Source organism: Homo sapiens, chromosome 11 (assembly GCF_000001405.40).
Source record: "Homo sapiens chromosome 11, GRCh38.p14 Primary Assembly".
Classification (NCBI taxonomy): domain Eukaryota; kingdom Metazoa; phylum Chordata; class Mammalia; order Primates; family Hominidae; genus Homo; species Homo sapiens.
The window spans coordinates 72,178,091-72,203,655 of record NC_000011.10 but is presented as its reverse complement, the minus strand read 5'-3'; the positions used below and the strand labels follow the sequence as shown (position 1 = coordinate 72,203,655).

The 25,565-nt window shown below is 47.5% G+C and overlaps 1 protein-coding gene and 1 long non-coding RNA gene across 5 annotated transcripts in view; one reads left to right on the top strand and one right to left on the bottom strand.

Moving 5' to 3' along the window:
* The window catches only part of FOLR1-AS1 (FOLR1 antisense RNA 1), a 45,920-nt gene that overhangs the window by 5,586 nt on the left and 14,769 nt on the right, over positions 1-25,565 (top strand). Inside the window, exon 2 of the long non-coding RNA NR_199595.1 lies at positions 4,920-5,143. This is a non-coding gene — a long non-coding RNA (FOLR1 antisense RNA 1). The remainder of the gene's footprint in view (positions 1-4,919; positions 5,144-25,565) is intronic.
* On the bottom strand, positions 7,333-13,947 carry FOLR1 (folate receptor alpha). Of its 4 annotated transcripts, NM_016724.3 has the most exons (6): positions 13,897-13,947; positions 13,015-13,080; positions 11,315-11,490; positions 8,197-8,385; positions 7,909-8,044; positions 7,357-7,759 (listed from the first exon to the last, which is right to left on the bottom strand). In NM_016724.3, exons 3-6 carry the CDS (start codon positions 11,480-11,482, stop codon positions 7,479-7,481), a joined length of 774 nt encoding a protein of 257 aa, NP_057936.1. In that variant the 5' UTR covers positions 11,483-11,490; positions 13,015-13,080; positions 13,897-13,947; the 3' UTR covers positions 7,357-7,478. The 4 variants fall into 4 exon arrangements, with proteins under 4 accessions (NP_000793.1, NP_057936.1, NP_057937.1 ...); NM_000802.3 differs by lacking the exons at positions 13,015-13,080; positions 13,897-13,947 and adding an exon at positions 13,725-13,741 and having other exon boundaries at positions 7,333-7,759; NM_016725.3 differs by lacking the exon at positions 13,015-13,080.

The following is a 25,565-nucleotide window of genomic DNA, read 5'->3' as shown; positions in this document are numbered from 1 at the left end:
TTCTGATATTAAAAATGAATAGATTGGCCAGGCTGTTTGATACTCTCAACAACTGGTTTCCTTTTTTTTTTTTTTTTTTTTTTAAGACAGGGTCTCACTCTGACGTCCTTGGCTGGAGTGCAGTGGTATGATCACCACTCACTGCAGCCTCAACCTCCCTGGGCTCAAGAGATCCTCCCACCTCAGCCTCCCAAGTACCTGAGACTACAGGAACATGCCACCACACCCAGCTCAACAGCTGGTTTCTATTCTCCACTCTTGTTTGTCTAAACATACCTGCTATACTTTGCTGACAGGAAATAAACCCATGTATCTGATATCATCACCGTAAACTAACACTTGGTTGAGTCAACCTACCAGAGTCCTCAGACTAGGGATTTCTAGCAAAATTTCAGCCCTCAGGCAGAAGACTTCTCTGGGGGAAGATGCTAGCCCAAGAACATGTAACTAGAAAAGGAAAGAGGAAAGTTAATGAAAGAGATATGATTGTGGTTATAGTCTTGGTATTTTTGGTAATGTACTTCATGTTCCCTTTTCTCTAATTTTTTAGGGGGTTAGGCATATGATATAGCCTTTTTCTTTCCCCTGGCTCTGGTCTCTAACACTCAGTTTAGCAAAACTTACCTGTGCCAGCTGGAATAAACACTCTTTTTTAAAAAAAGTCCTTGGTCAATGGGCTACCTCATAAACATCTCTAATGGTGTTATCTACATCTACACCAAGAATAGACTCACTCCTTGACTGCCAAATCCTATCTTTTTTTTTTTTTTTTTTTTTTTGGAGACAGGGTCCCACTCTGTCAACCCAGGCTGGAGTGCAGTGGTACAATCACCGCTCACTGCAGGCTCAACCTCCCCGGGCTCAGGAGATCCTCCGACCTCAGCCTCCCAAGTAGCTGGAACTAAGGCGTGCGCCATCACACCCAGCTAATTTTTGTATTTTTTTTCTAGAGACTTGATTTCACCATGTTGCCCAGGCTGGTCTCAAACTCCTAAGCTCAAGCCATCCACCCTCTTCGGCCTCCCAAAGTGCTGAGGTTACAGGCATGAGCTACCACACTCAGCCTCCAACCAATCTTTTAGATTGGGAATGGAGTTTGTCTCAGATGATAGATTTTTATGAAGCCACATGCCAAATTTGTTAGAATAGTTTCCCTCATGTGCACACCTCGCAGAAACTCAGAATCATCCCCTCAGTAATTTTCATCCCCCGTCATGCCCATTTACAATTAATCCCTGTTCTCACTTCCAGCCCCAGGCAGCTACTACTCTACTTACCGCCTCTATAAATTTGCCTTTCCTGCACATTTCACGTAAGTGAAATCATGCCACATGAAGCCTCTTAGGTCTGGCTCCTTTCACTTAGCATAATGTTTTTGAGGTTCATCCACAACATAGCATGTGTCATCACGTTTCATTGCTGCAGTCTTCTACTGTATGGATTTACCACATTTTGTCTATCCACTCACCAGCTGCTAAAAATTTAGGTTATTGCCAGGTGCGGTGGCGCACGTCTGTAATCCCAGCACTTTGGGAGGCCGAGACAGGTGTATCACCTGAGGTCAGGAGTTCAAGACCAGTCTGACCAACATGGCGAAACCCTGTATCTACTAAAAAATACAAAAATTAGCCAGGCATGGTGGTGTGTGCCTGTACTCCCAGATACTTGGGAGGCTGAGGCAGGAGAATCGCTTGAATCCAGGAAGCAGAGGTTACAGTGAGCCAAGATCACGCCATTACGCTCCAGCCTGGGCAACAAGACCAAAATTCCGTCTCAAAAAATATATATACATACATACATATGTATACTTATACGTATGTATGTATGTATACATACATATGTATACTTATACGTATGTATGTATGTATACATACATATGTATACGTGTACATACGTATACGTGTATACGTGTATACGTGTACACGTGTACATACGTATACGTGTATACGTGTATACGTGTACACGTGTACATACGTATACGTGTATACGTGTATACGTGTATACGTATACGTGTATACGTGTACATACGTATACGTGTATACGTGTATACGTGTATACGTATACATACGTATACGTGTATACGTATACATACGTGTATACGTGTATACGTATGTATACGTGTATACGTGTATACGTGTACATACGTATACGTGTATACGTGTACATACGTATACGTGTATACGTGTACATACGTATACGTGTATACGTGTACATACGTATACGTGTATACGTGTACATACGTATACGTGTATACGTGTACATACGTATACGTGTATACGTGTACATACGTATACGTGTATACGTCTGTATACGTGTATACGTGTATACGTGTACATACGTATACGTGTATACGTGTACATACGTATACGTGTATACGTGTACATACGTATACGTGTATACGTGTACATACGTATACGTGTATACGTGTACATACGTATACGTGTATACGTGTACATACGTATACGTGTATACGTGTATACGTGTATACGTATATATAGGTTATTGCCAGCTTGGGACTATTATGTATAATGATACCTAATATTATGAATATTCATAATTAAGTTTTGTTATGTTGATTTTCATTTCTCCTGAGTAGATACCTGGAAGTGGAATTTTGAGTTGTATGGTAGTTTTACATTTAACTTTTTGAGAAACTGCCACACTGTTTTCCAAAGGGCTGTACCATTTTACATCCCCACCAGCACTGTGTGAGGGTTCACATCCTTGCCAACATTTGTTATTGTCTATCTTATTATTATTGCCATTCTAATAGGTATAAAATGGTATATTACTGGGGTTTTAATTTGCACTTTTCTAATGATTAATAATGTTGAGTATCTTTTCACGTAACTACTCATAATTTGTGTATCTTCTTTTTTTTTTTTTCTGAGACACAGTCTCGCTCTGTCACCCAGGCTGGAGTGCAGTGGCATGATCTCAGCTCACTGCAATCTCCACCTCCCAGTTTCAAGCAATTCTCCTGTCTCAGCCTCCCGAGTTGCTGAGATTACAGGCATGTGTCACCGCACCTGGCTAATTTTTGTATTTTTAGTAGAGACAGGGTTTTGCCATGTTAGCCAGGCTGGTCTTTACTCCTGGCCTTAAGTGATCCGGCCGCCTCAGCCTCCCAACGTGCTGGGATTACAGACATGAACTACCGCACTCGACCTATGTATCTTCTTTAATGAAGTTTGTTCATTTCTTTTGCCCATTATTTGATTGGGTCAACTGCCTTATAATTACTGAGTTGTAAGTGTTCTTTGTATATTATGAATACAGATGCTTTATCAGATGTGTTTTGTAAATATTTCCTCCAGTCTGTTGCTTGTCTTTTAATTTTCTTAAGGCTGTCTTTTAAAGGGCAAGAGTTTTGAATTTTAAGTCCAATTTATCAATTTTTGCATTCATCACCTATGCTTTTGGTCCAAAAAAGAAGTGGGCCAGGCTTGGTGGTTCACGGCTGCAACCCCAGCACTTTGGGAGACCGAAGTGGGTGAATCACTTGAGCCCAGGAGTTCCAGACCAGCCTGGCCAACATGGAGAAACCCTGTCTCTACTAAAAATACAAAAATTAGCTGGGTGTGGTGGCGCATGCTTGTAGTCCCAGCTACTCAGGAGGCTGAGGCAGTAGAAGCCGGGAGGCAGACATTGCAGTGAGCTGAGATCACACCACTGCATTCCAGCCTGGACAAGAGAGAGACTCCGTCTCAAAACAAAAACCAACACACACACACACACACACACACACACACACACACACACACACACAAAATAAATAAGTAAAAGAAATAGGTCGGGCATAGTGGCTCATGCCTGTCATCCCAGCACCTTGGGAGGCCAAGTCAGGTGGATTGCTTGAGGCCAGGAGTTTGAGACCAGCCTGACCAAATGGTGAAACCCCGTATCTACTAAAAATTATGAAAATTAGCTGGGCATGGTGGCACATGCCTATAATCCCAGCTTCTTGGAGGCTGAGGCATGAGAATTGCTTGAACCCAGGAAGCAGAGGTTTCAGTGACACGAGATTGTGCCACCGCACTCCAGCCTTGGTGACAGAGTAAGACTCCATCTCAAAAAAAGAAAAAAAAGTTGGTTTTAGATGGTACTTATCTTTAATTCCACTAATCCAAATATATCTGTAAACTAATCATATTTGTAAATGGTGTCACTGATCCTGTAGAGAACATGATGCAACAATTGACCTTGTTTACAAGACTACCCAGGGCGGTCAGCAGTGGATTGCTCCACTTTTCGGGTTGATGTAGTTTTTCTGGTTTTTTCTGTGTGTGTGTAGTTTTTCTTTTTTTTTTCTTTTTTTTTTTTTTTGAGACGGAGTCTCACTCCATTGCCCATCGCCCAGGCTGGAGTGCAATAGCAGGATCTCGGCTCACTGCAACATCCACCTCCCGGGTTCAAGCAATTCTCATGCCTCACCTTCCCAACAAGCTGGGGTTTACAGGCATGTGCCATCACGTCTGGCTGATTTTTTTGTATTTTTAGTAGAGACGGAGTTTCACCATGTTGGCCAGGCTGGTCTTGAACTCTTGCCCTCAAGTGATCCGCCTGCCTCGACCTCCCAAAGTGCTGGGGTTACAGGCATAAGCCACCATGCCCGGCCTGGGTTGATGTAGTTATTTGCATAGGTTTAAAGAGTTGATCCTCCTTCTTACTAGGATCTAACCAAAAAATTAAATTTGTAACTATGACCGTGCATGAAATAGAAACTGACCAGAAAACAACGAGGTCTGTTGCAAACCTTGTGATTCTCCTGTCCTTCCAAGTACATGATAAGATCATGTTTTCCTGGCCTTCTTGAATTTAGGCATGCTCATGACTTGATTTGGCCAATGATATAAGTGACAGGTGGAAATTTGAAGAGCCTTATGGAATTCGCTAAGTTCCCTCTTCCTGTTTCATAGAAGATGGAGCCTCCATCAGCCTGGGCCTGGAATGAGAAGCAGAACCCCCTGGCTGCTAATGTAGTCCAGGAAAGAGAAATGAACAGAATCCCTCTGATAACCCACATTAAACATTGCAGCTTGAGCAAGAAATAAACATGATTTGTGGCCAGGCACAGTGGCTCACATCTGTAATCCCAGCATTTTGAGAGGATCACTTCAGTGCAAGTTCAAGACCAACCTGGGTAAGATAGTGAGAACCTCCCTGTCTTTACTATTGTATATATATAATACATATTTTATATGTGTATATATTAGCTGGATGTTGTGGCTCACAGCTGTAGTCCCAACTACTCAGGAGGCTGAGGCAGGAAGATCACTTGAGCCCAGGAATTTGAAGCTGCCGTGAGCTATAATCATGCCAGTACTCCAGCCTGGGTGACAGAGAGAGACTCTGTCTCTAAACGAAAGAAAACAAACAAAAAAAACCCAAAAAGGTGAGTTGTATGATGCCACAGAAATATTACGAATGTTACTGTAATATAACCTGGCTTAATACAAAGGTTACAAACTATATTTAATGGAGAACGCTGCCTTAAAACCCTTCAGGTTATTGGTTTGGAACCTGCTTAGGAGTCGAAGTTTGGGTTCCCATCCTAGCTCTGGCAGAGCAGCTTAGGCCCAGCTCCTCTGGTCAGCCATGGACCCATTATCCCTTCAAGACACACATATTTATTCACTCCATGATGGGAAAGAGCATGTCCTTTCTTTTTTTTTTTTTTTTTTTTTTGAGGCGGAGTTTCGCTCTGTTGCCCAGGCAGGAGTGCAATGGTGTGATCTCTGGTCACTGCAACTTCTGCCTCCTGGGTTCGAGAGATTCTCCTGCCTCAGCCTCCCGAGTAGCTGGGATTACAGGTGCACACCACCACGTCCGGCTAAGTTTTGTATTTTTAGTAGAGACAGGGTTTTGCCATGTTGGCTAGGCTAATCTCGAACTCCTGACCTCAGGTGATCCGCCCGACTTGGCCTCCCAAAGAGCTGGGATTATAGGTGTGAGCCACTGTGCCTGGCCAGGCAATGTTCTTTAATTTATGTGTCTGTTTCTACATATGGAAAATGCAGACAGTAGTATCTACATGTCATCGGTATAAACAGTTTAGGATAGTGCCTAGCAGAAAATGCTTTGTGGGTATTAGCTGTTAGTGCCATATGGCTCTTGCTGCCACCCTTACCCTCTTCCCAGCAACCCATCCAAAACATGCTGGGTACAGCCATTCCCACCTCTTCTTTTGGAGAGCTGAGCACAGCACAGGAATCAACCCTGGGAAGCTTATGTTCAGTTTAAATGATAAAATCCTGAGCTAGGCTGGGCATGGTGTCTCACACTTGTAATCCCAGCACTTTGGGAGGCTGAGGTGGGTGGTTCACCTGAGGTTAGGAGTTCCAGACCAGCTTGGCCAACATGGCGAAACCCCATCTCTAATAAAAATACAAAAATTAGCCAGGCATGGTGGCCCACACCTATAGTCCCAGGTACTCGGGAGGCTGAGGCAGAATTGCTTGAATGTGGGAGGCAGAGGTTGCAGTGAGCTGAGACTGCGCTGGGTGTGGTGGCTCACGGTTGTAATCCCAGTACTTTTGAAGTCTGAGATGAAAGGTTTGCTTCAGGCCAGGAGTTTGAGATCAGCCTGGACGACATACCAAGATCTCCTCTTTATAAAAAAATGTAACAATTAGCCAGGTGGGGCTGGGCGCAGTGGCTCACGCCTGTAATCCCAGCACTTTGGGAGGCCAAGGCAGGCGGATCACTTGAGGTCGGGAGTTCAAGACCAGCCTGACCAACATGGAGAAACCCTGTCTCTACTAAAAATACAAAATCAGCCGGGCATGGTGGTGCATGCCTATAATCCCAGCTACTCTGGAGGCTGAGGCAAGAGAATCACTTGAACTTGGGAGGAGGAGGTTGCAGTGGGCCAAGATCATGCCATTGCACTCCAGCCTGGGCAACAAGAGCGAAACTCCATCTCAAAAAAAAAAAAAAAATTAGCCAGGTGTGGTGGCACATGGTTGCAGTCTCAAGTTGAGAGGCTGAGGTGGGAGGATCACTTGAGCCCAGGAGGCAGATGTTACAGTGAATCAAGGTCATGCCACTGCACTCCAGCCTGGTGACAGAGTGAGATCCTGTCTCAAAACAAACAAAATATTCCTGGGTGAGACCCTGTCTCAAAACAAACAAATGAAAAATTCCTGGGCTTGGCTCTAGATTGGAGCAATAGTAAAAAATGAAATTGAGAGCTACGAATGTCTCCTAAGTTAGAAAAATAGTTAAGTATCAGGCTAGTTTATAGCAACTGTCAGAGCTAGGAATTGGCCCAGTCTCACTGGTTTCAATCAATGGGAATTGGAAAACAAAACAGTCACGTTCCCATTCATATCCAAATAATTCTCAAGACACATGTGCGGTGTCTGGTTTATTCAAAGTGGCTGTCAGAGGCCCGACCATGGAGCAGGAACCAAATAGTTGGGAGCTGTGGGGCTGAACAGGGCAGGGATTTCCAGGTATCAGAAGGTAAAAGGAGGTCAGCTGAGCAGCCACAGCAGCATTAGGGCCAGGCTAAGCAGGAAAGGCCAGGCTGCCCAGGGCCCAGCCCCACTCATGGCTGCAGCATAGAACCTCGCCACCTCCTCATTGGGGTTGCCCTGGGCTGGGTCGAACCACATCTGGATGCAGCGGCCACTCCCTCGGCTGTAGTTGCTGACCTTGTAGGAGTGAGTCCAGATTTCATTGCACAGAACAGTGGGTGTGGGGAAGTAGAAATGGAAAGGTTGGCAGGCAGCTCCCACTGCGCACTTGTTAAACCCTGTAGAGAGGAGGGAAGACCTTTAGCCACTGGGCCCGGAACTATCTTGAGGTCTGCCAGCCCTACAACTCCAAATTGTCACATACCTGTTCCACACCCACACACCTCCACTTCCAAATCCCTCCATTCCTGCCCACCCCAGCCCTCACCTGAAGTCCAGTTCCAGCCCTTGTGCCAGTTGCTCTTGCAGGTGTAGGAGGTGCGACAATCTTCCCACCATTGCTCACAGTCCTCTTTGCACAGGGGCACGTTCAGTACCCGCTCTTTGCGCCAGCTCTGATCCACCTGGGTGATTTTGATACAAAAGAAGGGCTCAGGTTCAAGAATCCCAGCAACTCAGCCCCGAATAGAACTGGAGCTGGGGTTGCAGCCTGCAGAGATGCCTGGAAAGCTCAGCTGCTCCGCTAGGTCTTGTACCTGCAGGAAGCCATGCATACCTGCTGGATCCAGGGCCCCAAGTTGGGGGAGCACTCGTAGAGGCAGGTGTCCTGGATGAAATGCCGTTTGCAGGCAGGTGCCATCTCTCCACAGTGGTTCCAGTTGAATCTATATAGGTAGGAAACATCCTTATGGGCTTCCTGGCTGGTGTTGGTAGAACAGCAGGCATTCTTCCTCCAGGGTCGACACTGGATGGGGGAAGACAGAGGACTCAGTCCACAGCCAGCACAGCCAGCACAGCCAGAATATTCCACATGCAGTGTCTCCCCTCTTAGTCCTTGATTCCCCAGCCCACTGGAAGTCACCCAGGAAAATACTTGCTATTGGGACCTCTTTAGGGGAGAGGGCCGTCAGAGACAGTGGGAGCCCAAAAGGGAGCTCCTGCTGGAGTTGCAGTCATTACAAAATTTGTTAATTCAACCTTTATTGAGATCCTACTTACTCTCACCCAGGTACTTTTGTAGAAACTGGGGTTACAACAATGAACACATCACCTGATTTTTGCTTTGGACAAAAATTAAGCAGAGACGGATGGGGACTTGTAGTGTAATAGTGCGGTCAGATTAAGCCTCACTGAGGTGTCAAAGATTTGAAGGTAAAAAAGCAATTTAAATTGTAACCCCAGGCTGGGTGCAGTGGCTTACTTGTGTAATCCCAGCACTTTGGGAGGCCAAGGCAGGTGGATCACCTGAGATCAAGAGTTTGAGACCAGCCTGGCCAACATGGTGAAACCCCGTCTCTACTAAAAATATAAAAATTAGGCCGGGTGCGGTGGCTCACGCCTGTAATCCCAGCATTTTGGGAGGCCGAGGCGGGTGGATCACGAGGCTAAGAGATCAAGACCATCCTGGCCAACATGGTGAAACCCCGTCTCTACTAAAAATACAAAAAATTAGCCGGGCGTGGTGGCTGGCACCTGTAGTCCCAGCTACTTGGGAGGCTGAGGCAGGAGAATGGTGTGAACCCGGCAGGTGGAGCTTGCAGTGAGCCGAGATCATGCCACTGCACTCCAGCCTGGGCGACAGAGCAAGACTCCATCTCAAAAAATAAACAAACAAAAAACTAGCCAAGTGTGGTGGCGGACACCTGTAATCCCAGCTACTTGGGAAGTGTTTTGTCCCTGACTAGCTGCCTCACCCATTATCTGTTTGTGGAATTTGTGATACAAAAAAACAATGTATAGCCAATCAATTGTGGATGTTATTTTATTATAAGTTATTGAGAAACAACTTAGGAACTAATCTTTTTCCTTAAAAACTAACTTGTGATGGCTGCAAAATTCAGGACAACTTGAAACTATGCTCCTGTGTGCCTATCCTCAAGCTTCCTGAATCTCATTACTTAAGGCTGACAAGCTAAATATTAAAATGTGGGCCGGCACAGTGGCTCACATAGTGCCTGTAATCCCAGCACTTTGGGAGGTGGAGGTGGACAGATCACTTAAGGTCAAGAATGGAGACCAGCCTGGCCAACATGGCAAAACCCCATTTCTACTAAAAATACAAAAATTAGCTAGGCATGGTGGCAGGTGCCTATAGTCCCAGCTACTCTGGAGGCCAAGGCAGGAGAATTGCTTGAACCTGGGAGGTGGAGGTTGCAGTGAGCTGAGATTGTGCCACTGCACTCCAGCCTGGGCAACAGAGCAAGACTCCATCTCAATAAATAAATAAATAAATAAATAAATAAAATGTGCACTTAAGGCCGGGCGCAGTGGCTCACACCTGTAATCTCAGCACTTTGGGAGGCCAAGAGGGGCGGATTATGAGGTGAGGAGTTCGAGACCAGCCTGGCCAACATGGTGAAACCCCCATCTCTACTAAAAATACCAACAAACAAAACAAACAAACAAACAAAAAATTAGCTGGGTGTGGTGGCGTGTGCCTACTCAGGAGGCTGAGGCAGGAGAATCACTTGAACCTGGGAGGTGGAGGTTGCAGTGAGCTGAGATTGTGCCACTGCACTCCACCCTGGGCAACAAGAGCAAAACTCTATCTCAAGAAAAAAAAAAAGAAATGCGTATTACAAGTTTCTCTCCCTTGCCTCCCTCCCTTTCCTCCCTCCCTTTCCTCCCTCCCTTTCCTTCCTCCCCTTCCTTCCTTCCTTTCTTTCTTTTTTTCGTTCTTTCTTTCTTTTGACAAGGTCTCACTCTGTTGCCCAGGCTGGAGTGCAGTGGCACGATCTACAATCTCTGCCTCCTGGGCTCAACTGACCTGCCCACCTCAGCCTCCTGAGTAGCTGGGACTGCAGGCATGTGCCACCACACCTGACTAATTTTTTTTATTTTTTAGTAGAGATGGGGTTTTGCCATCTTGCCCAGGCTGGTCTCGAACTCCTGAGCTCAAGTGATCTGCCCATCTCGACATCCCACAGTGTTGGGATTACAGGCGTGAGCCGTAACACCTGGCCTACAAATTACTTTTCCTCTGCTTTTTCTTTAGTTATATCATCATGTTCAGGATATTAAAGGGGTGGTAGCAAAATAAATGTTATAGGGAGACCTCAGGTCCAATGTGGTCGAGAGACACAGCCCAAAGTTTTGCGAGATGCATGAACCAAGATGCTTCAGGAGGGCGTACGGCTCATTTCTGTAATCCCACACTTTGGGAGGCTGAGGTGGGAGGATCACTTGAGTCCAGGAATTTGAGACCAGCCTGGGCAACATATGGAGACTTTGTCTCAGGAAAAAAAAAAAAGAATGCTTTGCACACAGCCTCATAATGTGAGAGACTCTCCCTTCTTGAGCTGTTTAGGGCTGGCAGAAAAGAGGCCACTATGCACAGTGTGCAGTTTCTTCCCTCAGATCTTTGGAGGAGTCATTCCCAGTCTAAATCCCTAAATCAAGCAACCCCAGGATGGGTCACTCCAACTTCATTTCCCAGGCTCTCCTTTGGGCCTGCTTCCTTATTTCTGTAATGCGGAAACTCAACAACCAAGAAGGTGAACTGTTGGCATTGTACCGACATTTGGCACAGTGTCTGTGAAATAGTCACCCATATTAATGCAAACTGAAGGGCTCCTCCACTTCAGTTCACCAGTGAATGGGGTTTGGCATTTCCATGTCCTCGTTTCCTCTTCCTGAGCCAGTCCCTCACCACCCCAGATCACCCCCTGGCCCACCTGCTCATGCAACTTGTCCTCGGGGCCTGGCTTTTCCTTGTGGTGCTTGGCGTTCATGCAGACATTGAGAAGCTCAGTCCTGGCCCATGCAATCCTTGTCTGAGCCTCCCCTACTACAGCCACCCACACTAGAAGGAGCAGCAGCTGTGTTGTCATCCGCTGAGCCATGTCTGTCCCTGAAGAAAGAGCTGTGGTCAGTGGCACCAAGGAATGCGGAGGTGGGGCCTTAAGTTGTGTGCAGGGCTCCAGGAGGGTGGGGCCTGGACGGAAGCCTGGGGCAGATAGAGCCCTGCCCCCATCTCCCTCAGTTTTCCCAGATCCAATGAAAGGTAGGATTAGACACCACCCCTCCCTGGCTTGAGCCTCATTGCCTTCTCCAGGTGGTCACGAGGTTCAGGTGATATAATTCAAGGATGGATTTGGGCAAAATGCAGAAATAGCCAGGAGTTTGCCATAGGTCCACAATGCCTTATTCAAATGTTTCAGGGTTAAAATTTTTTAGGATTTCATCAAAGGTGATTCAAAGAAAATATAATTTTCATATACCCAATAATCAAGTGTATATTCTGGGGTGAAACAGTTACACTAGTGGGATAAATTAAAACTATACATAAACTCACATTAATTTTCAGGTCAGATTTTGACACCAAATTACTTCATTGTAAAAGTTTACAAAAATGGGCTGGGCGCGGTGGCTCATGCCTGTAATCCCAGCACTTTGGAAGGCTGAGGTGGGTGGATCACCTGAGGTCAGAAGTTTGAGACCAGCCTGGCCAACATAGTGAAACCCTGTCTCTACTAAAAATACAAAATGAGCTGGGTGCGGTGTCGTGTGCCTGTAGTCCCAGCTACGTGGGAGGCTGAGGCAGGAGAATCACTTGAATCCAGGAGGTGGAGGTTACAGTGAGCCAAGATTGTGCCATTGCACTCTAGCCTGGGTGACAGAGCGAGACTCCATCTCAAAAAAAAAAAAAAAGTTTATAAAAATGTTTTAGTTGGGGGGGCTGCAGTGTGGTTTTTGTTAGTTTGTTTTGCTTTTTAAACCTTGGTCCCAGCCCCTTTCTAGCCTCATCACTCAAGCTAGTTTAGTAGGCCCTTCCCGGAAACCATGGGATCTTGGTGGGGTGGGGTCACAGGACATGGGTGCTGGCAGGGGACAGCCAGCTGGACAGCCCTGGGGCCTTGGGGAGCTCCTGTGCCCCCTACCACAGAGCTGGCTTCTCCTTGGTCATCACAGAACTTCAATCCTTTGACCTCAGACACTGAATTTTGGGAGGCGACTGTTTCCTTCACTCCACTGGACACCAGGTGTCTGGGCCCTCCTAAAATGCTCAGAATTTATTTCCTATGACTTCTCTCCATCTGTCTCCTCTAACTCATCTTCCACATACCAGTCGCTAAAGTGGACATGCCTTTCCCGCTCACAAGCTTGCCTTGCCCCCGTGCTGCCCCTCCTCTCCTCTTGACAGGGCCTCCTTGACAGGGGTCTAGGCAGGGCCTGAGCTGGGCTGTCTCCAGGCCGACTGCACAGCAGGGCTCATATAAGCCTGGAATTGAATTCCCACCCAGCAGCTCTCTTTCCTGCTCCACAATCCATTACTCTGCTACTCTATTGATTCCAGTGTTCATTCACTCTCTCATGGTTGATTCATTCATTCCAGGATCCAATCATGCCCCTGTGGACCTGCTCACTCACTAACCTTGAGGGCCACGCCGGAGAAATCTGTACTCTCAGGGAATACCAGGTGATCCTTTGGGTTCAGTTCCTGCGGGAACAAACCCTAACTGTTTAGAGCACAGGGTTCCCGTTCAACCTGTCCCGACCCCAGCCCTCACTCCACCTTCTCCTTGGCCTTGGGGGAAAGAGAAGCAAACTATCTTGAGGCTTAGCTTTCTCCTGCAAGGATTAAATGTAAGAAGGGGGAAATCAACAAATGATAGCCAGTTTAATCTTTGTGGAATCATTTCAGCACAGATGAGGGCCATGCCCCAAGTCACACAGTAGGGACCACCCAAGTTCAGGCCAGAGCTCTTTTGGCCTTTGCCCCCTGCACCTTCAGAGTGCTGAGGCTCTCATGGGTGCGGCCAACACACAGTGCTGGGGATGGGGGCTGAGAAAATCCTTTCCCCAGCCCCCAGTGGAGCCCACCTGTTCAGTCAGTAGTCTCTCTTGCTGTGGCTGCTTCTGAAGCCAGGCTCTCTTCCTGTCCTTTTGAGCAGCATCACTCTGCAAGCTCCTTTCCCACCTGCCTAGTCTCACCTTCAGGTCTTAGTCCAGCTGTGACCCCTCCCCACCAACAATCATGACCCCCACACCCAACCTTGGGGCCCCAGACTAGAAGAGCTGAGAACTCAGCTCTGGACTGAAGGGCTAGAGCCCAGGTACTAGTTCAGGGGGATGAACACTAACTTGTCGTTTAACCTTGAGCAGGCCACACTCTGGTCTGGGCCTCAGTCTCCACTTCAAGATTCTCTGGCCTTCAGGCAAACAGAGGGCCCTTCCAGTTCAGAAAATCCTTAACACATGGTGGGAATGCCATAGGGTGTGTGGCCTCTGAAGGGGGATGGGGAGTGTCACATACCTGGGAGAGGAGGTGGCTCTCCGTCTGGCTCAGGCTTCTGCTCTGCTCTACACTCCCCCTTGCCTTATTCCAGGGGACAGCTGTGGTTTAGTGGCCTAGGAGACAGGCAGGGAGTGGGAATGGAGCCCAGGAGTGGAGCCTGGGATTGGGCGAAGGCCACTCAGCAGTTAATTATTGTATGTGAGCACCAGCCAGGCCTCCATGGGGTAGTGGGAGGGGGTGAATTAACAGTGCAGGCCTAAGGCCAGTCCCTAAGCTCCACCTACCCAATTTTTTCCCAAACACTGAGGTCTGAAAAAAATCTTGCAGCCTGAGCTGCCAGGATCCTTTGAGCTAATCTCATCAGTTTCCAACCCCTCTGTCCTGTTAGGCAGATGAGGAAAATGAGATCCGGAGGATCAAGGCAAGGGCTAGAGCCCAGGCTTCCAACCTCCCAGTCAGCTATAGAGAGCAAGGATCTCCCAAGGCCATAAATTGTAGAGCCACCAACTCCCCCAACCCCATTAGCCCAGGTGTCACCCATCACCAGCCACAAAATCACAGATGTTCTGAATCTTTTGATCAGATCTTCAATTGTTTGAAGGGCCAAGCTCTCCTTCCATCCCCAACTCATGGACCCCCTCTCCCGGCAACTCAGGTATCCTTTCTACAGCACCTGTGATTCTGGGCTAACTCTTCCCTCCATCTCCACCCCAGTCAATGACAGAAGCCTTCATTTTTTTTATTCTCTGAGCCCATGGTGGTACCACAGATGGGAAAAGGGAGAGGGAGGGGCAGGTTTGGGCAGGAAGAAACATAGAACACTGTTTTGTCGAGGTGCCTGTGTGCCCTTGGCCCGGGGAAGGTGGTTGTAGAGGGGAAAGCTCAGGGGAAGAGTCCAGGTTGGATGCAGATGTGGGAACCATCAGACTATGAGTGGCAGTAAGTGTAGGGAAAATGGGGGCCCAGTAATCTGGGCAATGCCACAAGAAAGGACCCAAGGAGGAGGCAGGCAGGGGAGCCTGAGAAGACAGTTGGATCTCTAGAGGAAAATCAACCAAGAAGGAAGGCTCTCTAGGGCCTGCAAGCAGACCAATTCCCAGGAGATCCCAGCTTATGTCCTGCAACAGTGAGCCATACCTGAATCTTGTGACAACCTGAGAAGTGTCAACTTAAAATCACCAGATCTATATATTTGGAAACAATATTTTTTCTTATGTCAGGTTGTAACCTGCAGGCTGGTAAGTGGAGCCTTTGGCTGAGACCAAAAGCAGGCAATTTGAGGGAGGAAGGGTGGGACAGGAGTTTTATGTAAAATGGGTTGGCTAGCATACATATTAATGGGTTATAGGAAAAGCTATGAATGTTCATGAAAGGGAGCCACATGCATGTATACTAAGCAAACATACATGTTACATACATCTTGTGTTCACTTTGGGGTTGAGATTTAACATTAATTTTTTTATTTTTTCATTTATTTATTTATTTTTGAGTCGGAGACTTGCTCTGTAGCCCAAGCTGGAGTGCAGTGGCACGATCTTGGCTCACTGCAACCTCCGCCTCCCAGATTCAAGAGATTCTCCTGCCTCAGCCTCCCGAGTAGCTGGAATTATAGGCGCCTGACACCATGCCTGGCTAATTTTTGTATTTTTAGTAGAGATGGGGTTTTACCATGTTGGCTAGGCTGGTCTCAAACTCCTGACCTCAAGTGATCCGCCTACCTCAGCCTCCCAAAGTGCTGGGATTACAAGTGTGAGCCGCGGCACCTGGCCTGTTTTTTTTTTTTTTTTTTTTTTTTGGGCAGAGTCTCACTCTATCACCCAGGCTGGAGTGCCGTGTCACAATCTCGGCTCACCGCAACCTCCACCTCATGGGTTCAAGTGATTCTCCTGCCTCAGCCTCTAGAGTAGCTGGGATTATAGGTGTGCACCACCACACCCAGCTATTTTTTGATATTATTTCTTAGTAGAGATGGGGTTTCACTGTGTTGGCCAGGCTTGTCTCAAATTCCTGGCCTCAAGTGATCTGCCCACCTTGGCCTCCCAAAGTGCTGGGATTATAGGTGCGAGCCACGGCACCCGGCCTATTTATATTTTTATTTAAAAATAGTGAAAGAAGGCTGGGTGCAGTGGCTCATGCCTGTAATCCCAGCACTTTGGGAGGCCGAGATGGGCGGATCACCTGAGGTTAGGAGTTCGAAACCAGCCTGGCCAACATGGTGAAAACCCGTCTCTACTAAAAATAAAAAAATTAGCTGGGCATGGTGGCGCACACCTGTAATCCTAGCTACTATTGGGGGCTGAGGCAGAATTGCTTGAACCTGGGAGGCAGAGGTTGCAGTGAGCCAAGATCACACCACTGCACTCCAGCCTGGGCAACACAGCAAGACTCCGTCCCCCGCCCCCGCAAAAAAAGAGAGAGACAGGGTCTCACTATATTGCCCAGGCTGGTCTCGAACTCCTAGGCTCAAGCAATCCTCCCACCTTGGCCTCCCAAGGTGCTAGGATTGCAGGTGTGAGCCACCATGCCCAGCCAAGACTTAACCTTAAAATGCAGTCTTAGGCCTGGCATGGTGGCTCGCGCCTGTAATCCAAGCACTTTGGGAGGCCGAGGCGGGCGGATCACGAGGTCAGGAGATCGAGACCATCCTGGCTAACATGTGTTATGGTGAAACCCTGTCTCTACTAAAAATACAAAAAATTAGCCGGGTGTGGTGGCGGGTGCCTGTAGTCCCAGCTACTCGGGAGGCTGAGGCAGGAGAATGGCATGAACCCGGGAGGTGGAGCTTGCAGTGAGCCAAGATGGTGCCACTGCACTCCAGCCTGGGTGACAGAGCGAGACTACGTCTCAAAAAAAAAAAAAAAAAAATGCAGACTTAGGCTGTACACATCAAAAGGCGAAACATAGGACACAAAGGCACTTTGTGTGCCGCCTCTCTAAATTGGCCAGAACCACCCCATGGTTAATAGGAATTGATCAGGAAGGAATGCTTTGTGAGCTGGTCAGCTGTCATATCAAAATCACAAAAAGAGGCCGGGCCCAGTGGCTCATGCCTGTAATCCCAGCACTTTGGGAGGCTAAGGCAGGTGGATCCTTTGAGCCCAGGAGTTTGAGACAAGCCTGGGCAACACAGCAGAACTCCATATCCACAAAAAAATACAAAAGTTAGCTAGGCATGGTGGTGTGTGCCTGTAGTCCCAGCAACTTGGGAGACTGAGGCGGGAAGATCACTTGAACCCAGGAGGCAGAGGCTGTAATGAGCCGAGATCATGCCATTGCACTCCAGCCTGGGTGACAGAGCCTGTCTCAAAAAAAAAAAAAAAAAAAGAGACCCTGTCTCCAAAAAAAAAACAAAAACAAGAACAAAACAAAATAAAAACACGAAAAAAAGAGGGACGTCTGGCCACAGCATCAGGTGGTTGAAGTTGAAATCAGCAGGATTCTTCCATCTGTTTTCCAGGACTGGTTTCTTCTTAACTGTTAGGAAAAAAGTCGGTAACAGTAAGGAAGAGGGTGTACTGGGGTGTGACCAGCCTCCTGTCTTATCATAGCCAAGAAACTTAGATTTTGAAGTTTTTGTGGGGTCTCCTTGGCCAAGATGGGTTTGTTCAGTCAGTTGAGGGGGCTTTGATTTTCTTTTCTTTTCTTTTCCTTTTTTTTTCTGAGACAGAGTCTCGCTCTCTCACCCAGGCTGGAGTGCAGTGGCGTGATCTCGGCTCACTGCAACCTCTGCCTCCCAGGTTCAAGCGATTCTCCTGGCTCAGCCTCCTGAGTAGCTGGGATTACAGGCACCCACCACCATGCCTGGCTAATTTTTGTATATTTAGAAGGGACAGGGTTTCACCATGTTGGCAAACCTGGTCTTGAACTCCTGACCTCAGGTGATCCACCTGCCTCGGCCTCCCAAAGTGTTGGGATTACAGGTGTGAGCCACCGCACCCGGCGGGTTTTCTTTTTATTTCACATTTCCTCTTTTTAGCTGAGATCAGCCACAGGCAGCATCAATGGCAAAATTTGTATCATGTTGTTGCCAGGATGGTGAGGTTGCCTGCTCCAGGTCCATCCAGTCCTTTGGTGGGACCCTTGTGGCCAAGAGACTTATAGCCAATTGAACTCTGGCCAGACAGGAATAGAGGTGGGCAGACCTCAACCCCTAAGGTCTATCAAGCAACATAAAGGCCAAAAGGTAGGGCTACCAATTTAACTTGTCTATAAGATCTACGCATTGAGCCAGCATAATTCTGGTTTTAGCAGCAGACTTACAGCAGTTGGTTATACATATTATAGGTAATTAAATGTTAAGAAGAAAAGGTTAATGGAGACTATTACTATAACAAGGACTTGAATGGCATCTTGAAAGGAACTTCCCAGTGTGGTAGAAAGCCAACTAAATAGGTAATTGATGGGATCAGTAGTTCATACATCTTGTAACCATTTAGCTTGTTTGGAAATTCTTTTTTTTTTTTCTTTTTTCTTTTTGAGATGGAGTCTCGCTCTGTCGCCCAGGCTGGAGTGCAGTGGCACAATCTCAGCTCACTGCAACCTCCGCCTCCGGGTTCAAGCAATTCTCCTGCCTCAGCCTCCTGAATGCAGCCTCCTGATTACAGGCATGCACCACCACACCTGGCTAATTTTTGTATTTTTAGTGGAGACAAAGTTTCACCATGTTGGCCAGGCTGGTCTCGAAAGCCTGACCTCAGGTGATCTGCCCCCCTTGGCCTCCCAAAGTGCTGGGGTTACAGGTGTGAGCCACCATGCCCGGCTGAAAATTATTTCTGTATGAATTTCTTTTCCTTTTTTGAGACAATCTCACTTGGCACCCAGGCTGGAATACAGTGGCGTAATCTTAAATCTCCACTCTCTGCAACCTCCCCCTCCCAGGCTCAAGCAATTATTGTGCCTCAGCCTCCTGAATAGCTGGGATTACAGGTGTGTGCCACCATGCCCAGCTTTCTTTTCTCTTTTTATTTTTATTTTTTGAGACAGAGTCTTTCTCTCTCTCCCAGGCTGAAGTGCAATGGCATGATCTCTGATCACTGCAACCTCCGCCTCCCAGGCTCAAGCAATCCTCCTGCCCCAGCCTCCCAAGTAGCTGAGACTACAGGTGTGTGCTACCATGTCCTGTTAATTTTTGTACTTTTTGTAGAGACAGGGTTTCCCCATGTTGCTCAAGCTGGTCTCAAACTCCTGAGTTCAAGCGATCCTCCGGCCCCAGCCTCCCAAAGTGCTGGGACTACAGGCATGAGCCACTGGGCCCAGCCCTGTATAGTTTCTACTTCACTTGAAATGTTGATGTAAGTGCCACAGATCTTAGGGACCACCACACAGACTCTTCCCTGTTTGGCTAAGAGAAAATCTAAGGCAATTAAATTATCTATTACTACTTGAGCCAGGGAATTCAGAGACTTTGTTGGGCTGGAAGGCTTTGTGCAGTATCTCCAGCTACCTGTTCAATAGTGGCAGATAGTTTTGAATGTGCTGGTCAAGTTTTGAATTAGACTCCTTCAGTTTTGAATTAATCTCATTTAAGGAGGTTATCTGAGATTCCTGTGTTTAGAACTCTCATAATACCACTTAAAAATGGTCTCCCATGGGAGGATTCCTTGAGTCCAGGAATTTGAGACGAGCCTGGGCAACATGGTAAAACCCTGTTTCTACAAAAAAATTAAAAATTGAAAATAAATTAGCAGGGTGTGCCGGTGCATGACTGTAGTCCCAGCTACTTGGGTGGCAAAGGTGGGAGGATGGCTTGAGCCCAGGAGGTCGAGGCTGCAGTGAGCCGTGATTGTACACAACGCTCTAGTCCCCGTGACAGAGTGAGACCCTGTCACACACACACACACACACACACACACACACACACAAAAGGGCCTCCCATTGCTTCTCAGAGGTCTAGAACTCTCTCTGTTCTCATTGTGCCTACTAATAAACGAATTGAGGCATGTCAAACGTTCTGTCAAAAGATCTCCATTTTGGCATATAAAGCTTTTAATTGTTCCAGGTTAGCTTTTTCTAGGATCCCAAATATTCACAAGACTTTTTCTCATAATTCCGAAACATGTAACTTCCTGATGGCAGCTGGTCAGGGACTGTCTGTCCCCTTAGAACCTAGGTTCCCCATAACAGCATTTACTTAAAGACGTCCCTGCGAGTGCCACTAGAGGGCAAGCATCCTCACCAAACCTGATGGGCCGGATGAGTCAGGCTGAACTGCCCCCAACCTCCCCCACTAGAAACCCAACACAGCAAAGATAGCCCTTGCAGGGTCTGGATGGAGAGGATCAGAGAAAAAAAATGAAGTCTCTGAAATGTCAACCTAAAACCAGGAGATCTTAGATCAGGGAGAGCTTACCCACCTTCCTCCCAAAGCTGTCAGGGAGACAACTGAGCTGTCAATGGCTCCACCAGCCACCAGTGCATTCACTCACGCTGCGGGGAGCCTGGGCTGCTCTGTGGATCCTACTCTTGTCTTCAATTATATTGGCTTAAAATCACAAGATCTTTACATTTAGAAAGGAGAGCTTTCTTTCTTTCTTTTCTTTTTTCTTTTCCTTTTTTTTCTTTCTTTCTTTTTTTTTTTTCAGACACAGTTTCACTCTATCGCCCAGGTTGGAGTGCAGTGGCACGATCTCACTGCAACCTCCGCCTGCTGGGTTGAAGCGATTCTCATGCCTCAGCCTCCCGAGTAGCTGGAATTACAGGTGCCCACCACCATGCCTTGCTAATTTTTGTATATTTAGTAGAGACAGAGTTTCACCATGTTGACCAGGCTGGTTTCAAATTCTAGACCTCAAGCAATCCGCCCGCCTTGGCCTCCCAAAGTGCTGTGATTACAGGTGTGAGCCACCTCGCCCAGCCTAGGAGAGCTTTATTTCTTATGATGTGCAGGCTGGGAAGTGGAGTGAGGGTAGAACAAGGGTTTTATGCTAAAAGAGTTGGCTAAACATACATATTTAATAGGTTTTAGGAGAATCTATGAATATTTGTGATAGTTGCACACATGTGTACTAAGCAAACATACATATTACATATGTCCCATATTCCCTTTGGAGTGGAGACATTAAAATGCAGTTGATACCGGGTGCAGTGGCTCATGCCTGTAATCCCAGCACTTCAGGAGGCTGAGGCGGGTGGATCACCTGAGGTCAGGAGTTCGAGACCAGCCTGGCCAATATGGTGAAACCCCATCTCTACTAAAAATACAAAAATTAGCCGGGCATGGTGGCAGGCGCTTGTAGTCCCAGCTACTCAGGAGGCTGAGGCAGGAGAATCCCTTGAACCCAAGAGGCGGAGGTTGCACTGAGCAGAGATCGCGCCGCTGTACTCCAGCCTGGGAAACAGAGTGAGACTCCATCTCAAAAAAAAAAAAAAAAAATGCAGTCAAATTTGCCTCTGTATGTCAAAAGGGGAAACACAGGACCCAAGCACTTTGTGTGCTGCCTCTGTAAACCAGCCAGAACTGGTCCATGGTTGGGAGTCATTGATCAGCCAGGAATGTTTTGTAAGCTGATCAGCTGTCATGTCAAAATCAGGTAAGGAAAGGGAATCTGGCAGTTGGTTGAAATCGAAATCAGTGAAGGAGTCTCCTGTTCTTGGTTTTCCAGGGCTGGTTTCTGTTTAGCTCTTGGGAAAGAAGCCTGGTAACGGTTCGTGAGGAAGCTATCATCACGGCCAGGAAACTTGGATTTTAAAGTTTTTCCGGGGTCTCTTTGGCCAAGAGGTGTCCATTCAGTTGTTTGGAGGGTTGAGGATTTTATTTGTATTTCCCAGAGGGTTGAGTCCTCTTAAGACCTCAGCAGGTAGAGGCCTCTGGAACCCTCAGGCCTCTTTCCTTCTTTATACCCCAGTGCTGATGGGAGAAGGGCAGGCAGGTGTCTAGGAACGCCTGAACACGGGAGCTCCTCTAGATGGAGCTCCTGCCCTCTCATCCACTGCCCATGGCTTGGGGGCTGATCATGAACTGAACTTTATGGCCCCTCCACTGCAGGAGTGAGACCTGCTACCTGAGGCAGTTCCCTAGGCCATGAGGGCTTCAGAATAATACCAGCAAATGGAAGGTTGGGTTGGAGGTCAAGTTCAGTTCCTCTGGTAAGTCCTCACCACTTGTGGAGTCTCAGAGCCCTGCTCTGAAGGATGAGGTGGTGCGCCTATCTGGAGTCTGGGTGCTAGGGCCAGCAGGGAGGGACAGTCAGGCAGTCAGCTTGAACCAGTCCAGAGAGTATCTGCCTGAGCTGGAAGCTTAATACCACAAGGTTAACCATTGGCATTCCTTCTAACCCCAACCCGAAGGCTGCCCTAGGACCAGGCAGATAACAGGAAGGTGTTTGGCTCACAGAGGTGGAGACTCTGGGCTTCAGGAAGCAGGAGAGGGGCCTCAGAGTGGGGAGGAGAGAACCCTGAGGTCTTCCCTGAGTGCCAGCCTATCACACATGCAATCTCACCTCACTCATCTTCCCAGCTGCAGAAACTACTGATCTCAGTCCGATTCTAAGCCTGCCTTCTTTCACCTAGCAGTTGCAGGAGAGAAGCTCTGTGAGGGGCCCACAGGGCACCGTCCTAAGGAATGCAGATCCAGTGTTTCTTCTTTGGCCTTAACCGCTGCCCACTCCCCACATAACTTCTCTCTCAGCCACCCTGGAATTCTGCTCGCACTTCTATTACCTCTAAGCCTTTGCACTTGCTGAGACCTGTCCACGGAATGCCATTCCCCGTGCTGTTTTGTGCTTGGCAAACACTCCTTTGGAAGCCTTCCCTGACCTCTTTGGGCTTCAGCAGAATAACACCACACTCTGTGCTTCCCTCTGTGAAAGCCTCATCTCCTTGTTCTAAGAGTCACTGGTTCTCAGAACTGTCTGTCCCCACCAGACCTTGCAAGGAACTCAATTCCCTTTCTGTTGGCTGAGACCAGCATGGGCCAGTGAACTGGATGCTCAGAAGGACTTGTTGACTGACAGAATGGATGCAGCGATTCCTTAACTTACTGAGCACATTCTCGGTGCCAGGCACTGACCCAGACTCTGGGGATATAGCATAAAATGACACAGACACAGCCCTGCTTTGGGGAGAGTATGTTTTGTTAGGAGAAAGGCTGACAACAAACACAGTAGACAAAAATCCACGCAAGGGCACAGAATGATGTGATGAGAAATCAGCTGGCTGGGTGGCTTCTTTAGGCTGAGTGGTCAGAAGTCATTTTAGGGGGGAATTGTAGGTTATCATCTAAGTGGCCACAACAGGTCAGTCTGCAGAGGATTAATGAAAAACATTTCAGGCACGCAGAGGAGTTGCTGGAGCAAAGACCCCCAACATGAGAAGTGTGACTGGAGCTCATTTATGGGGTGGTGTGGGGAAGATTTGGCTTGAGGGCTCAAAGGAGGGGCATGGTCTTCTGTGCTAATTTGAAGAAGTTTAGTTTTTACAGTTGATACCACTGGAAAGCATTGAAAGATTGGTGAAAGAGCTGTAACATAATAAGACACATTTCGGTTTTGTTTTTACTTTTTTAAAAAAGGTCCATCAGACAGTGGAACATGTAGGTGGAAGTGTGCTGATGAATAGAGTATCTATAGTCCCCAGTCTCTCCCTACAACATATTTATTACTTACAAAGGGGAAAGTGTAGTGGAGAAACCTGGGAGACATGATCTCAACCAAAAGATCAAAGTTAACCTCACCAGGAATGGGCAAACCCCTCACCACGTGCCTCCTGTTACGATGCATGGAATAACTGTGTAGGGTATTCGTGCCCAAAATGTGTAACCTCAGTGAATCATGAGGAAACAAACCCAAATGGAGCAGTATTCTACCAAATAACTGGCCTGTGGCTTTCAGCAATGTCAAGATCATAAAAGAACCCCATTCCTTCCAATGCCCATCAGTATGTGACTGAATTCAGTGTGATGTACACATAGAATGGATTATTACCTAGTAATTTAACATCTCAATAGGTCAACATGGAAAGATCTCAGAACAATGGCAGATGAAAACTGGACTGAGCTGCCCTTTTCCCCACCTGTAAGATGAGCAGAAAACCAAAGTTTGATGGCATACTGTGTTGACAAGGTTGTGGAGAAACAGGCACTCTCTCTCTCTGTTTTTTTTTTTTTTTTTTTGAGACAAGGTCTCGCTCTGTCGCACAGGCTGGAGTGCAGTGGCACAATCACAGCTCATTGTAGCCTCAACCTCTCAGGGCTCAAGTGATTCTCTCACCTCAGCTTCCCTGGTAGTTGGGACTATAGGCACACACCACCATGCCCAGCTGATTTTTTTAGTTTTTTGTAGAGATGGGGTTTCACCATGTTGCCCAGGCTGATCTTGAGCTCCTGGGGTCGAGAGATTCTCCTGCCTCAGAATCTCAAAGTGCTGGATCACAGGTGTGAGCTCTCACACACCCAGCGGAGAAACAGGCACTCTCATGCTTTGCTGGTGGAGGAGCCACATTGATAAAATCTCTATAAAGTTGTAACTATCAAAATTATACATACTCTTGACCCAATAACCCTTTCTGGAATTCAGTATAACATTCCACTAGGTACAAGATTTTTTGTTTGTTTGTTTTGTGACGGAGTTTCACTCTTGTAGCCCAGGCCGGAGTGCAGTGGTATGATCCCAGCTCACTGCAACCTCTGCCTCCTGTGTTCAAGCGATTCTCCTGCCTCAGCCTCCTGAGTAGCTGGGATTACAGGCATGTGCCATCACACCTGGCTAATTTTTGTATATTTTAGTAGAGATGGGGTTTCACCATGTTGGCTAGGCTGGTCTGACATTCCTGACCTCAGGTGATCCACCCACCTTGGCCTCCCAAAGTGCTGGGATTGCAGTCGTGAGCCACTGAGCTCAAGGTGCTCAGTGTTACAATCTTGTAACAGCTGGTACAAGACTGTTAATTGCAGCATTACTTGTCATTTATTAAAAAGTAGGTCAGGCCAGGCTCGGTGGCTCATGCCTGTAATCCCAGCACTTTTGGAGGCCAAGGTGGGTGGATCACCTGAGGTCAGGAGTTCGAGACCAGCCTGGCCAACATGGTGAAACCCCATCTCTACTAAAAATACAAAATTTAGCCAGGCGTGGTGGTGTGTGCCTGTAATCCCAGCTACCCAGGAGGCTGAGGCAGGAGAATCGCTGGAACATGGGAGGCAGAGGCTGCAGTGAGCCGAGATCACACCACTGCACTCCAGCCTGGGTGACAGAGCAAGACTCCGTCTCAAAAAAAAAAAAAAAAAAAAAAAAAGTAGGTCAGGCACAATGACCTACTGCAATAATCCCAGCACATTGGGAGGCCAAGGAATGAAGATCGCTGGGGCCCAGGAGTTCAAGACTAGCCTGGGCAACATAGCAAGACCCCAGTCTCAAACAAATAAAAACAAGGCAGGTGTTTATCATTGAGACCCTCCTCTCCAAACAGTATCTCCTCCCAGCCCACATCTAGTGAGGGAAGAGGAAATAAACTGTCTTCCCCACCTGAAGCCCAATAACTCATCTCCTGTTTCTGCCCATCTTCCTTCCACCTGCGCTTTTGTCCGTGTATAGTGTGGGGGTAATGAGCTTTGTGTGAGCGGGAGGGTCTCAGGAGAACCAGGCTGAGGGATAGATAGATACCTAGATTCTGGCTCAACCTCCACAGCCTACTTCCCAGTGAATGTCAAGCCAGTTCCAGCCTGATTCGGGGACTATCAATAGGAAAGATGAAGC